At 34.2% G+C, this 16207-nt stretch overlaps 1 protein-coding gene across 2 annotated transcripts in view; it reads left to right on the top strand.

Moving 5' to 3' along the window:
* Positions 1 to 16207, top strand: part of GABRG1 (gamma-aminobutyric acid type A receptor subunit gamma1) — an 88286-nt gene that overhangs the window by 60787 nt on the left and 11292 nt on the right. For both annotated transcript variants that reach the window (NM_173536.4, XM_017007990.2), the window contains 3 exons: positions 4646 to 4783; positions 4899 to 5051; positions 11630 to 11844. In NM_173536.4, the coding sequence (NP_775807.2) occupies positions 4646 to 4783; positions 4899 to 5051; positions 11630 to 11844 (506 nt within the window). The remainder of the gene's footprint in view (positions 1 to 4645; positions 4784 to 4898; positions 5052 to 11629; positions 11845 to 16207) is intronic.

Raw genomic sequence — 16207 nt, 5'->3', positions numbered from 1 at the left:
AGTTTGAAGTCAGGTAGCGTGATGCCTCCAGCTTTGTTCTTTTGGCTTAGGATTGACTTGGCAATGCGGGCTTTTTTTTGGTTCCATATGAACTTTAAAGTAGTTTTTTCCAATTCTGTGAAGAAAGTCATTGGTAGCTTGATGGGGATGGCATTGAATCTATAAATTACCTTGGGCAGGATGGCCATTTTCACGATATTGATTCTTCCTACCCATGAGCATGGAATGTTCTTCCATTTGTTTGTATCCTCTTTTATTTCATTGAGCAGTGGTTTGTAGTTCTCCTTGAAGAGGTCCTTCACGTCCCTTGTAAGTTGGATTCCTAAGTATTTTGTTCTCTTTGAAGCAATTGTGAATGGGAGTTCACTCATGATTTGGCTCTCTGTTTGTCTGTTATTGGTGTATAAGAATGCTTGTGATTTTTGTACATTGATTTTGTATCCTGAGACTTTGCTGAATTTGCTTATCAGCTTAAGGAGATTTTGGGCTGAGACAATGGGGTTTTCTAGATATACAATGATGTCGTCTGCAAACAGGGACAATTTGACTTCCTCTTTTCCTAATTGAATACCCTTCATTTCCACTTCTCAAAAGAAGACATTTATGCAGCCAAAAGACACATGAAAAAATGCTCACCATCACTGGCCATTGGAGAAATGCAAATCAAAAGCAGAATGTGATACCATCTCACACCAGTTAAAATGGCGATCATTAAAAAGTCAGGAAACAACAGGTGCTGGAGAGGATGTGGAGAAATAGGAACACTTTTAAACTGTTGGTGGGACAGTAAACTAGTTCAACCATTGTGGAAATCAGTGTGGCGATTCCTCAGGGATCTAGAACTAGAAATACCATTTGACCCAGCCTTCCCATTACTGGGTATATACCCAAAGGACTATAGATCATGCTGCTATAAAGACACATGCACACGTATGTTTATTGCGGCACTATTCACAATAGCAAAGACTTGGAACCAACCCAAATGTCCAACAATGATAGACTGGATTAAGAAAATGTGGCACATATACACCATGGAATACTATGCAGCCATAAAAATGTTGAGTTCATGTCCTTTGTAGGGACATGGATGAAATTGGAAATCATCATTCTCAGTAAACTATCACAAGGACAAAAAACCAAACACCGCATGTTCTCACTCATAGATGGGAATTGAACAATGAGAACACATGGACACAGGAAGGGGAACATCACACTCTGGGGACTGTTGTGGGGTGGGGGGAGGGGGGAGGGATAGCATTAGGAGATATACGTAATGCTAAATGATGAGTTAATGGGTGCAGCACACCAGCATGGCACATGTATACATATGTAACTAACCTGCACATTGTGCACATGTACCCTAAAACTGAAAGTATAATAATAATAAAAAAAATAAAATAAACAAATTTGTTCCACATAAAAACAAAAGAAAACAAAACCAAAAAAAAAAAAATGTAAGTGGTAACTTATGCTATTTCTATATTGCTCAATGTTGTATTTTTAACTCTTCATTCCTGTAGCTGTGTAGTGGTGGTTTACTTTCCTACTGTATAATATCAGTTATATTAAAATGCTTTTATTTATCCTAAAAAAAAACCTGGTATATTCTTTATAGGAAATAATTATAACCTTTCCAGAGCTATATTAATTTTATTTTATATTTACTAACATACATATCCTCACATGTATTTTTATAAAAGTATTTTTCTAGATACATACAATTATCTTAAAAATATGTAAAATGGCTTATAAAAATGTGGTTGCCTTTACCCACAAATTGTCTAATGCTATTTTCTTTCTTTTGAAATTTATTGTTTTCACAGATCACATTCTAGAATTTGGTAGAGTGTAATATGACATTTTATTCATAAGCATAACCCTACTTCTTCACTTACTAAATTTCCACATTTTTTTTTGCCTTTTATTAATGATATTCTTGAATTTTCTTAATGATTTTGTCTCATTAAAGCATTCTTTTATATTAATGATCTACCTCACTGCTTTGATTTTTAAACAGTAACTTTGAAGTGGATAAGACAGCCAAATAGCAACAAATACTTGATTGATAGAATTCAAGGAACTCAAGGAAAAGTTCATATGCAATAATTGATGTAGCAGTTGTACTTCTTCATTCTAGAAGCCATTCTTAAATTTTGGTGTGATAGCTCTCTGGTTTTGATTGTTGTTAATAGTAATTAATCATTTATCTTTGTGAGTTTAATTGGGTGTCAATAGCTAACATATAATAATCATAGCTAATTTTTTTCAGGCACTCTACATGGGTCCAGTAGAGAATTCAGCCATCTGCATCTAATATTTCACAACAAATATGTGTGGAAGATTTCATTGCAGTCCCAATTTTAAAAATTAATATCATGAGATTCAGAGTGGCTATTTAGCCAATCATGTTTATTTGTGCCCACACTACTGTATACTATGTCTATCCTCTATTGACTCTAAAACTTTTTAAAAGTAAAGACAGAAACTATAGAAATCAAAATGGCTACAACCCTAGAGAGCAAGTGAAAGAAGATGGAGAAAAGGAAAGATAAAATAGTTTATTTATTAAGTAGATCAGCAGAGATGATAACTATTTCATTGCATGACTAATAGAGATCCTAGTGCAAAATACATGGATATACTATTTTTGAAATTTCAAGTTAATTAGTGAATTCTGTTTATGTAATGTGCTACCAATCTTTCGGTTGAAAACAAAAATTTTATACCATTAAAATATTCTAAAACATGTATGTGACCATACGTAGAAAGAACTTTTTAGCTACAAACATCTACATGAAAACTGTAAACCAGAAAGGTAAAGTTGCAGCCGATTTTGACCTGAGGACATTGACAAAACGTGGTAATTTCCTTCAAGCTTTGCTTTGATGGTATTGTAAGATGGTAGTGTAATAGAACATAATCTCCACATAAAGTTGGCATACAAAAGCCTGACCAGTTGAGATCACGTGAAGAATTACCTCCTAAACACACACACACACACACACACACATACAACCACCGAAAGCTAAAAGGGAGGTTGCCCCTGAAATCAGCATACAGGGTGAGATGATTCTTCTTGAGAGAATCTAATTACAAGTCTACCTCAAATAGATTTTTAGCCCAAATTTCTTTCACTTGGTTCGTTCAAAAAGTCCTCAAAGATATTCCTGATACAAGCCAGAAACAGAAATATTTTTTAGAAAGATGAAAGGATAGACCTCCGTTCTAGACAGCTACAAAGTAGACAAAAACATTTTCCTTAACAAAGGACTAGTATCTAGAATACATAAAACATTAATATAAAAAGAGAGGAAAAAATAAGAGAAAGTAAAAAATAAATAATGGGCAATTGAACAAGCAGTTCCTCAAAGAAGCAATCCAAAATTCTAATAAACATACTTTTTAAAGGCTAGGTTTTATTATTAATCAGGAGAATGTGAAATAAAATACACTTCATGGACGAGTAAAAATGAAGAAGACTGCATTTATCAAGATTAATGAGAATATGCATTCATGTTAACTTTCACACTCTGGCTGATAAGAGAATATGCTAGTGGCTAGGCGTGGTGGCTCATGCCTGTAATCTCAGCACTTTGGGAGGCCGAGGGGAGCAGATCACCTGAGGTCAGGGGTTCGAGAATAGCCTGGCCAACATGGCAAAACCCTGTCTCTAATAAAGATAAAAATAAAAAGAAAATTAAAAAAAAAGGGTAGCCATTCGTGTTGGCAAGCACCTGTATAGGTCTCAGCTACTTGGGAGGCTGAGGCATGAGAATTGCTTGAACCTGGGCGGCAGACATTAGCAGTGAGCCAAGATCGTGCCACTGCACTCCAGCCTGGACAACAGAGTGAGACTCCGTCTAAAAAAAAAAAAGGAGAATATGTTAGTATACTCTCTATGGAAAAAAGATTGGCACTACCTCATAAAGTTGATATTATGTGTAACCCATGACCCAGCTACTCCATACTCTATCCTAAAGTAATGCTTGCATATTGCATGCCACGTTTCGGGAGGCATGCATAATAATGTTACTAGAGCAATGTTGGTTATAGCCAACAGAAAATACCACAAATGTCTAAAACAGTATAATAGATAAATTTCGGTGTGTTTTTACAATGGAAGAAATTTAGCTACGTACAACTTTGATGACTATCACAATATATTAAAAAATACATTCTTAGACAAGGTAGCATGAGGAAAAAGAAGAAAAAAATAATATGCCAAAGAATGCCTTAAGTATGGGAATGATCAAATAAAATTCAAAGGAACCCAAACTATGCTATACTTTTCAGAAATGCATATGAAAAATCTATATTAAAAAGAAAAGATCATCGCAGAAATTAGGATAGTTATTACCTCTAGATTGGGGAGGAAGTACTATATTGGGGTGGACATATTGGGTTTTCTGTGTGTTAGCAAGTTTCTATTTCTTAAGTAGATTACATGGGTTATCATTATTTGATCCATGTATGATTAGTCATTAAACTCTGCTTATTAATATTTATTGTATTCAAATATTCTATGTTTGGCATATCTTGTAATAAAAAAAGAGGAGAAAGTTCCAAGAATCTACCTTTGGATAATGTTGGCATTGCAATGGTATCAAATTTGGATCTTGCTAATCTATGTATTTTTTCTCTATAGATGGATACCCTAAAAATGAAATTGAGTATAAGTGGAAAAAGCCCTCCGTAGAAGTGGCTGATCCTAAATACTGGAGATTATATCAGTTTGCATTTGTAGGGTTACGGAACTCAACTGAAATCACTCACACGATCTCTGGTAAAAAGAATACTCAAATAGTGAAATGATGCTAGCATTAAATGACATTTTTATTTTAAATATATGGATTGTGATTTATATTATATAGCCAAAATAAAACTTTTTTTTCTTACAGGGGATTATGTTATCATGACAATTTTTTTTGACCTGAGCAGAAGAATGGGATATTTCACTATTCAGACCTACATTCCATGCATTCTGACAGTTGTTCTTTCTTGGGTGTCTTTTTGGATCAATAAAGATGCAGTGCCTGCAAGAACATCGTTGGGTATGACATGTAATATTATGCTATAATGCCATAGAACTTTAAAAAATCATTTTGATGTGATAAAAGTTCATAGTCACATTTATTAGATATATTCTTCTAGACTACAGTCAGGAAAAAAATTGACAGGAACTAAGGGACAATACCATGTTGAAAGAGATATGTAAAAAAAGAAAAGTAGAAAATGGAATTGTAAAGAACTTGAAATTTCAGAAAATTCCTTCTTTTTTCTGCTAATGAAGACCAAGGGAAGCATAGATCCATAACAAGAATTAATACATGAAAATCATACGTAATTCCTAAATCTTATTTTGGTTGAGTTTTTCTATCACGTTTCATCAAGATTTTATTTTATGTTATAGCTGAGTCACTAATAACCACTGTTTATTTACTGAGGTGTGCAGATGGCTTTAAAATAACCTGCTTTTATAACATTGCTAATGAAGTCAATCTTTCCAAAGGGCAAGTAGCTGAAAGGAACAAGACGCTCCCTGGCTTCTGTGGCTTCTGTCATGTATAAAATGTGTATTTATTCTGTGAATACTTGAGAGTTGCCTGTAGTTGCCTGTAGAATAACATTGATTAACAGGGTAATTTGATTCATACTTGACAAAATAGACTTTTACTATTTTTCTGTAACAATCTATTGCAATAATCAAATCACATAACAAAATAAGTGACTAATTACAGTATAGTTATTTAAAAGAAAATGATAACCTGCAATCAGGTATTGATATAGGAATAAAACTTGTTAATCAATTGATTCACCCCCCAAATCAGTGAAAGACACATGAATCACACTGCTCATAATTGTGTCTTAAAAATATGTAAAGAAAGGTGAGACAGTTTCTATTTTTAACCACAAAGAAGTTTATATGTGATTTCTATGATAGCTTATAAATGATTCCATCTAATAAGTACAGTAAAATGCAGGTCACATAAAAGTGACAACAACAATGCATGAGGCACATGGGTCTATACTTGAAGTTCTCTTGGCCATCTAAACAGGGATATTGACATAGCTAGTGGACAAAATCCATTCGTATCTCAATTTTGTTTCCTTTCATTGTTTAAAATTATTTTATAAGTTGTATAAATTATTTGAGTTTCTTTGTATGCTACTATAACTTAACCATAGTATTTTTGTTTCTATTTCCATATTTTTCTGGGAATGTAAATTAGTATAACCACTATGCATAACTGTTTGGAAGTTTCTAAAAGAATTTGAATGGATTATTTATACCACTGGGTTTGTATAAAGTTCTATGCTAGAGTGTCATGAAGAGAAAAGCCAACTGTGAAGTCGTTTTTGCATAAACTTATTTTTATTCAATATTAGCATATCAATCATAAAGGTAAGCACAGCCAGATGTAACTTGACAAATATCTCTTGTAATTGTGGACCCTAAGATAGAGAATTACAATTGCTTTAAATATACATGCACACACATATCACTGCAAGACAATTTCCTGAACTCAACCTTGCATTTTTCTACAATGTATCCAATGCTTTCTGTTAAACAAGCAGTGTTTTTGGTGCTTTAGTGTTAACAGTGAATAAAATTTTAAAACTTCGTGTTTATGGTGTTTACATTTTAGTAGAGAAAACAGGTAATGTACAAATGTAAAAGGCATACAATAAAATTTTAGTGAGTCATGAAGGCTGTGAAGAGATAGCAAAATCAATGTTTAGAAAATGACAGGGTGTGAGTGGTATGATATTTGCTATTTTATATTGTGGAGTCTCAATAGATACCTCTGATGATGTGGCATTTGAGCAGTGACCCAATGAAGTGTGGTGCTAACCTGGTGGATATTGGGCAGAAAGATATTCCAGGCAGGGGGAACCATATGGTTTTTGAAGCCAGATCTTCCTGCTATGCCATGCTTTGGGGTTCAGAAAAATGACAAATGTGGTTGGAGCTGAATGAATAGTCACAGAAAATAAATTTGGAGAAGGGGCCAATAGTTAGATCAGGTAAATTTTTGTGGGCCATTTTAAGGACTTTAAATTTTATTTCAAATGTGATGGGAGACTATTTTTTTTTTTTTTTTTTTTTTTTTTTTTAATTTATTTATTTATTTTTTTTTTTTTCCTTTCTTTTTTTTTTTTTTATTATACTCTAAGTTTTAGGGTACATGTGCACATTGTGCAGGTTAGTTACATATGTATACATGTGCCATGCTGGTGCACTGCACCCACTAATGTGTCATCTAGCATTAGGTATATCTCCCAATGCTATCCCTCCCCCCTCCCCCCGACCCCACCACAGTCCCCAGAGTGTGATATTCCCCTTCCTGTGTCCATGTGATCTCATTGTTCAATTCCCACCTATGAGTGAGAATATGCGGTGTTTGGTTTTTTGTTCTTGCGATAGTTTACTGAGAATGATGGTTTCCAATTTCATCCATGTCCCTACAAAGGATATGAACTCATCATTTTTTATGGCTGCATAGTATTCCATGGTGTATATGTGCCACATTTTCTTAATCCAGTCTATCATTGTTGGACATTTGGGTTGGTTCCAAGTCTTTGCTATTGTGAATAGTGCCGCAATAAACATACGTGTGCATGTGTCTTTATAGCAGCATGATTTATAGTCCTTTGGGTATATACCCAGTAATGGGATGGCTGGGTCAAATGGTATTTCTAGTTCTAGATCCCTGAGGAATCGCCACACTGACTTCCACAATGGTTGAACTAGTTTACAGTCCCACCAACAGTGTAAAAGTGTTCCTATTTCTCCACATCCTCTCCAGCACCTGTTGTTTCCTGACTTTTTAATGATTGCCATTCTAACTGGTGTGAGATGATATCTCATAGTGGTTTTGATTTGCATTTCTCTGATGGCCAGTGATGATGAGCATTTCTTCATGTGTTTTTTGGCTGCATAAATGTCTTCTTTTGAGAAGTGTCTGTTCATGTCCTTCGCCCACTTTTTGATGGGGTTGTTTGTTTTTTTCTTGTAAATTTGTTTGAGTTCATTGTAGATTCTGGATATTAGCCCTTTGTCAGATGAGTAGGTTGCGAAAATTTTCTCCCATGTTGTAGGTTGCCTGTTCACTCTGATGGTAGTTTCTTTTGCTGTGCAGAAGCTCTTTAGTTTAATTAGATCCCATTTGTCAATTTTGGCTTTTGTTGCCATTGCTTTTGGTGTTTTGGACATGAAGTCCTTGCCCACGCCTATGTCCTGAATGGTAATGCCTAGGTTTTCTTCTAGGGTTTTTATGACAAACCCACAGCCAATATCATACTGAATGGGCAAAAACTGGAAGCATTCCCTTTGAAAACTGGCACAAGACAGGGATGCCCTCTCTCACCGCTCCTATTCAACATAGTGTTGGAAGTTCTGGCCAGGGCAATCAGGCAGGAGAAGGAAATAAAGGGTATTCAATTAGGAAAAGAGGAAGTCAAATTGTCCCTGTTTGCAGACGACATGATTGTTTATCTAGAAAACCCCATCGTCTCAGCCCAAAATCTCCTTAAGCTGATAAGCAACTTCAGCAAAGTCTCAGGATACAAAATCAATGTACAAAAATCACAAGCATTCTTATACACCAACAACAGACAAACAGAGAGCCAAATCATGGGTGAACTCCCATTCACAATTGCTTCAAAGAGAATAAAATACCTAGGAATCCAACTTACAAGGGATGTGAAGGACCTCTTCAAGGAGAACTACAAACCACTGCTCAAGGAAATAAAAGAGGACACAAACAAATGGAAGAACATTCCATGCTCATGGGTAGGAAGAATCAATATCGTGAAAATGGCCATACTGCCCAAGGTAATTTACAGATTCAATGCCATCCCCATCAAGCTACCAATGACTTTCTTCACAGAATTGGAAAAAACTACTTTAAAGTTCATATGGAACCAAAAAAGAGCCCGCATCGCCAAGTCAATCCTAAGCCAAAAGAACAAAGCTGGAGGCATCACACTACCTGACTTCAAACTATACTACAAGGCTACAGTAACCAAAACAGCATGGTACTGGTACCAAAACAGAGATATAGATCAATGGAACAGAACAGAGCCCTCAGAAATAATGCCGCATATCTACAACTATCTGATCTTTGACAAACCTGAGAAAAACAAGCAATGGGGAAAGGATTCCCTATTTAATAAATGGTGCTGGGAAAACTGGCTAGCCATATGTAGAAAGCTGAAACTGGATCCCTTCCTTACACCTTATACAAAAATCAATTCAAGATGGATTAAAGATTTAAACGATGGGAGACTATTGTAGGATCTTGAGTAGGGGAAGCCATGGAGAATATAGCAATGATATCCAAAATGTTTTCTCAATATCCTGTTAATATCTTAAGTGTTTTTTATTATCACGGACTCAGAAATATTTTAATAGAAAATCCACTATGTTCTTCTCAAGGTAATGACAGTGATAATAATTACTAAATTAAATAAATGTCTGAAAGCAAAGTTCTGCTTAGTTTTTTTGCCTTATTAAAAAAGAAAGTAACAGAAACTTAATAAAGTAAAATTTATTGCAGTAGTGGATAACAAAATGAAACCACACATTGGATTTAAGATTTTTCAGATAGGAGACATAATTGTGGAGCCAAGAAACACTTTGGAAACCTACCTGGGCTGACGATGGGAACAATGTGATTTAATAAGCTTGTGTGGGAGATGAGGCAAAGGGAGACTTGTATATATCATTTTTTTAGCCTTTACCATAACAAAGCCTTTAAAAATGTACATTTAGTTTCAAAATAATTGAAGTAAAAGCTGTAAGGGATAGTGGGAGAAATAAATCTGCAACCATACTGTTTTCTCATTCATTGTTAGAACTACAAGAAAAAGTTAATTAGGATATAGAAACTTTGAAAAGAAATTATCATCAACTACTTTACCTGATTGATATTTATAGGACACTACACCTAACTTCAGAGCACACAATATTTTCAAGTGCATATAGATCATTAAACAAGATATTACTAAAATACAAAACACTAAAATTTTCAGAGTATATTTTCTAACAAAAAAGGAAGTAAATTAAAAATAAATAAAAATAATATAACTGACAATGGCCTTGTATATTTGGAAATTTAAAAAAAAGACAAATAATTAAATTAAGTACATTTTGTGTATATTTACTACAATTACGAAGCAAGATATTACTGTGTTTGTTTTTTTTAAACGAGAGGCACAAAGGAGTTGAAAAACTTTGTTAAGATCACAGAGCTAATAGAAGAGTCAGAGATTAAACCTAAATTTGTATCATAATTCCAAATTCATCACAACTGTTTCACCTTTAATATTTTCTCCAATCCTAAGAAATGATAAAAGTGAAATGACAGGTTTGTGAGTAGAATTTTTAGGGTATGTTTCAATGGAGACATGAGGGGAAGAGGTGGTTATTGCCTTCACTATACCAAAGAGACTGTTGCTACAGCTGTTTTTGATTTACTTTTCATCATAAATGTTGTCACTCTATAAATATTGGTCAAATTAAGAAGCATTTAGCATTATGTTTAGTACTTTTAAGAGAGTAAACAATTCCGCTCATGGGGCCATATTTACTGGGAAAACGAATGAGGATTATGAAAGTTTAGGTTAAAAGAAATATTAGCATGTGCATCTGTAATTTAGGAGACCTAAGATTAATAGTGATAAGAACCACACAAAGACTGATGAGAAACAGATCCCTTCAAGGATACACATACAGGATTGGGACCCTTGGGGACATCCCAGGTATACATGCTGACTTCTCAAAAATAAAAGGATTTACTCTGTGCTTTCAAAGCAGTATTCCCTTGATATAACTGTGCCAGTATTCCTCACTTAAACATTGAGATTAAAAAATGGGTTTAACTCAGGTTATTATATAACAAAAAGCTATGTTAGTTTGGATTAATTTTGACTGTATATGTATGGTGGAAAATGTCAAGTCACTGTCACTTCAATTAGATAGAAGAATATCTGTTGCTTATGTGAAGTCTAGGGGTAGGTATTTCTTTTTTTTTTTTATTTCAAGGCGATACAATGCATTATAGTATGAGAGACTCAGTCTCCTTCTGGCTTTCTCCTGTATTGTGAGTAAATTTAATTTCCAATATTATCTAATGTTTTAAGATAGTGCTATTGGTCTGGCCATTGTATTCCAGCAGAAGGCAATGAGAAGGAAAGAAGGGCATTCCTTGTCTCTTTAATGCTGTCTTTAGGATATTGTATGTTGCCTACATTCTTGACTTGGTTCCCTTTGGCTAGATCTCAGCCTGTAGCCACACTCAACTGCAGAGAGATGGCAAATAAAGTTGTTCTGGGCAGTCATATGCCAGCTAAATATTTGATATTCTATTACAATGGAGGAAGGGAAGAATGGATATCAGGAGTCAACTTGCACTCCGCAGTAATTTAAATGATTAGAACTCACAGAAACACAAAGAGCACATTGGACACAATGTTGCTATGGCTACCAATAATTATTAATATAAATTACTAGTAATCATATTTTTGTTTCTATTGTTTAATTTCACTCACAATATTGCCAAATCAGATGGAAGAATAAATGTGGTCTATTAATTTTCATTTCCTGTTTTGTTTCCTCTCTCTATAGGTATCACTACAGTTCTGACTATGACAACCCTGAGTACAATTGCCAGGAAGTCTTTACCTAAGGTTTCTTATGTGACTGCGATGGATCTCTTTGTTTCTGTTTGTTTCATTTTTGTTTTTGCAGCCTTGATGGAATATGGAACCTTGCATTATTTTACCAGCAACCAAAAAGGAAAGACTGCTACTAAAGACAGAAAGCTAAAAAATAAAGCCTCGGTATGTTAAAAAGAAAAATTTCTATTTTATAAACCTCAACTTACTTAGAGATACTCTTTTGAATATTTATGTGTTTGTTTACAGAAATAGGGACGCTTGAGACCCATAACCAAAGACAAAGTTAAGATGAAACTGGAGTACCTAACATTGCTCACCAAGAAAAGTGTATTTCTGTTTTTCAAATGTCTCCCATTGGATCCCCTGTGTAAAGAGTGGTTTATTATGGCCTGAATTTTCCCACAGTGGTAGATTCTTTGTACCTCAAACATTATTTGTGATTTACCTTTGATCCGATTTTTTGTGTTAGGATTTGCATTTCTAACAAAATTACCTTACTTTTAGTGATGAAGATTCCTCTTTAATGGTAGTGTCCAACTGTGTTTAAAAGTGATGACCACAACGTTCTTTTTTTGTTTTTCTGTATTTGTACTATTTTACTCTCCCATCTCAATCATATAATTACCTTAACTTATATCACATCAAGTCTAATATATTAAAATGGATTCTCCTGAATCTAATATACTCATGTATGGGGTTATTGACTATGATTATGTTTTATATTATCAATTATAGCAACCTGAAAGTAATATCTAACACATGTTGAATGTTCCAGACACTCTGCAGAGCATTTTACATGCATGATTTCATGTATGCTTAGAGCAACTCTCTAAGTAGAGGTTCAATGATTTACACAAGAACAGCCTCAGTAAGCGAAAGATCCAAGACTCAGACCTGGATCCTTTTTGGTGCCAGAGCTCAAGCGTGTGACCCTTCCTTTATATATCCTGTTCTCACAGGGCTTAAAAAAATAGACATTTATTTTTCTAAAATTAACAAGAAAACATTTAATTTAGTAAATGCTTTCAAAGATTTGTTTCAAAATACTCAAATAAATGAGAAATGTATCAAATAGCCAGGCATTAGTGGCAAGCTTGTAAGCCTACCTTAATGTATATATAATGAGTTTTCCATATTATCTAACTTTTTAAGTTCTAGGAGTCAATGCATTTTTCCCTAATCTTTTTTCATTGGTTTCTTTATAAAACTCTGCTATACTTTTAAGTTATGTTTTACTTTTCATGTTATATTCCAAGAGAAAAACCTGGTGTATTTTGCTTTCAGATACCCACAATATTCCAAGAAAGCAGAGCACATTGCTAGCAGTACAAATTTGATAACTTGCATTGTAGAATTAGCCAGTGACTCCGTCAACTTCACGTCATTTTTGCTTATCTATAGGATATATTTTGTCTCCTGAATGGACAAATCAGAAGTCAACTATAATATCCATTGTTACATTTTTAGATAAAGAAAAATGAATGCTTTCTACAATTTTCCTTTCATCAAAGCCATGCATCTTCTCTGGATTTTCCATTTTATCGTTTACTTATCTGTATCTATGTTGGATTATTGCCTTGAAAGTTTTATTTCTGGAAATTTTGAGTGGAGATGTTTAGAATAAAAATAACTAATATAGAGGCCAGGCAATGTACAATCTCACATCCATTCTCTAATTTCATTCTAAGAATAAATAATTTAGGTACCACTATTATATTATCGAAGGACACAACCAAAACATGGCTACTCTAGGATGGTAGCTAATCAGTTTGACCGCAGATCATGTACACTCAGCCAAAGTTCCAATGGCACACTTACTCAAGAGAGCTGGATTACTCTAGTGTAGACTTTAAACTTATCATGTTATTCAATCATTCATCAACTATTTATTAAGGACTTCCATAATCTAGGCATTGTTCTAGAATAGTTACTATTTTTAATCCATATGTTAAGTCTTTCAAATTTAGCATCAAGCCTAGGTTGCAAACTACTAATTATGGAAAGGTAAAGAACGAAAATTAAATGATAGTATTGAAGTACTAAATGGCAAATAGCAACAGTTAAATTGACATATTATAATTGACTACTTGAGTACCAAAAATATTTTCTTTACTGCCATTCATAATGAAGTTTGATAGTCTCTTTTCTTTGTTCAATTATGTGCTTTATGAGCTCTTTCAGTCCTAAATGATATTTTGAGTGAAAAACCGGGATCAGTAATCAAATCTGACTCCTTGCATGGTTCAGTGTACAGCCATATGGTCTTGCTAATCAGGTAAATCAGAATGTACTTTTATGAGGAACAGGCAACTCTGTTTGTTGTTGTCTCAAATCCTCTATTTAAGGGCTTTCTGGAATCCACATTTTTCTTTGGTTGCAAGATGTTGTAGCATCTTGCCATTAAGCCTGTATTAAATGTTTGTGACTTCACCCCCTCCTTCCGCCTTTCTCTCTCCTTTCCTCTTTGTCTTTCCTTCAATCTCCCCATTTCTTTATTAAAATTCAGAGTAGTTTAAAATCCAGCATTTTCCCTTTAAAAAAAATGTTTAGGGCTATAGTCAGGCTAGGATGCAATACTTTGGCTAGAGAGTTGCTGAAAGGTCAACAATTCTGTTATTAAGCAAAATTAAAATCCTTTTCCTGACATCTTGTTGACTGCTTAACTGAGAATCTCAAAATGTTCAGTTTTTTTTGGAAGAGATAATACTTGAACAAAATAGATTTTTAGCTTCAAAGAACCACCTAAAAATATAAATTGATAAACACCCGTTTTAACTTACTCTCCACATGAAATGGGCCAGCTTGCTTGCTCTCTCTCACTCTTTCTTTCATTCTCTTTCTTTCATTTGTCTTTTTTGCTCGCTTTCTATTTTTCCTTCCTTGCTTTTCCTTTCTCCCTTCCCTTTCCTTCCTTCCTTCCTTCTTTCTTTCCTTCCTTTCCTCCCTTTCCTTCCCTTCGCTTCCCTTCCCTTCTCCTTCCTTCCTTCCTTCCTTCTTTCCAGTAAGAAGGTTACTTAAACAATTGTAAAGAGTCGGTGCATGGTGGGATATTTTCAATAGATAGAGTAACCATTTAGTACCAGTTGTGACAATGGCCATATGATGCTTCCCTGAAGTATATAGATACCACCACCAACAGCTCTTTTTTCTACCTTGGAAGAACCTTCCTTCCTTCCTTCCTTCCTTCCTTCCTTCCTTCCTTCCTTCCTTCCTTCTCTATTCCATTATGACCAAATTTTTCTTCCATTTTATTGTACATGTGAATGACATTTTGGATTGTTTCATATGCCCATCCAATATATATTATTACTAATCGGCAAGTATATAATTCAGGTGTATTTGTGCCAACATTTATTTTCAAGAAAGTCTAAGAAGTTAAGTTAAATATGTTGAACTATGGAATCAAGACATTTTATGCAACAGATAAAGCCACTAGTAATAAACCGAAAGGCACTAGTAATAAACTAGCCTTTGCCAATTGAAGAGTAGTTTATGTTGAAACTTGAATATTCGGCCCATAGGCTAGCAGAAATTTCAGAAAACCATGTTGTACCTACTTCAGGGGCCTGCTATAGCCATTTGAGGATTGAACTTACTTATTTTTAGTTTCCTGATTTTATTAAGATGTGAAATTATAGAAATTTATTTATCCAGCTATGGACGAGACATTATGGAGACAAAAAAGAGATAGAATGTGTTCTTTGCTTTCAGGGATGATTACATCCAGTTGTGAAAAAATGCATCGCAAATACAAACATAATAAGATACAATATAAATAATAGTCCAAGATAAAGATCAAAATTAAACAAGGAGTCTGTGAGGGAATTAACAATTAGATGAATAATTTCTCATGCTTTTTCAGAAGTAGGTTATTTTTATAACAAATATACATAAGATATTTTATTATTTTTAAATAACAATATTTTTATTTTTTATAAAAACATAAAATGTATTTTTAAAGGAACTGTTCTTGTGGAAACAGACAGGTATCACAAAGCCAGACCTATGTGGCCTATGCCTAGCATCCCAGGCAGTCTTCAGACATCATATTATGTGGCCTGTGAAACATTGAACAGGCACACAGTGTTGAAGAGAACCTTGTGGAGAGGAGAGGATTCCTTTCATTTCATGTGTAAATAATTCATTCATAAAACATATAAACTGATGGAAGTTTGGCAAGGAAAATTCCAGAGAAAGTGTGGCTTCACTGAAGTAATTTTTTGAAGAAAAAGTTGCAGTTTTCAAGATAACAAATTAGAAAGAACATTTAAGATAGAGGGAACTATGTCAGCTGGGCTGAGCCTTACATGTGAGAACAAAAAGTAGACTAGCATACGTCCCAAGCTGTGCTGTCCAATATAATAGCCACTAAGCACATATAGATAGGTTGGGTTAAATTAATTAAAATTAAACAAAATATAATATTCAGTATCTTAGTAGCGCTAGTCGCATTTCAAGTGCTCAATAGCCACATGTGACTTACGGCTATCATATTGAAGAGTGTAGATGTAGAACATTGTCATCA

This window comes from Homo sapiens, chromosome 4 (genome assembly GCF_000001405.40).
Source record: "Homo sapiens chromosome 4, GRCh38.p14 Primary Assembly".
Taxonomy (NCBI): Eukaryota; Metazoa; Chordata; class Mammalia; order Primates; family Hominidae; genus Homo; species Homo sapiens.
Note: the sequence above shows the minus strand (reverse complement) of the source record. Positions and strands in the feature narration are given on the sequence as shown.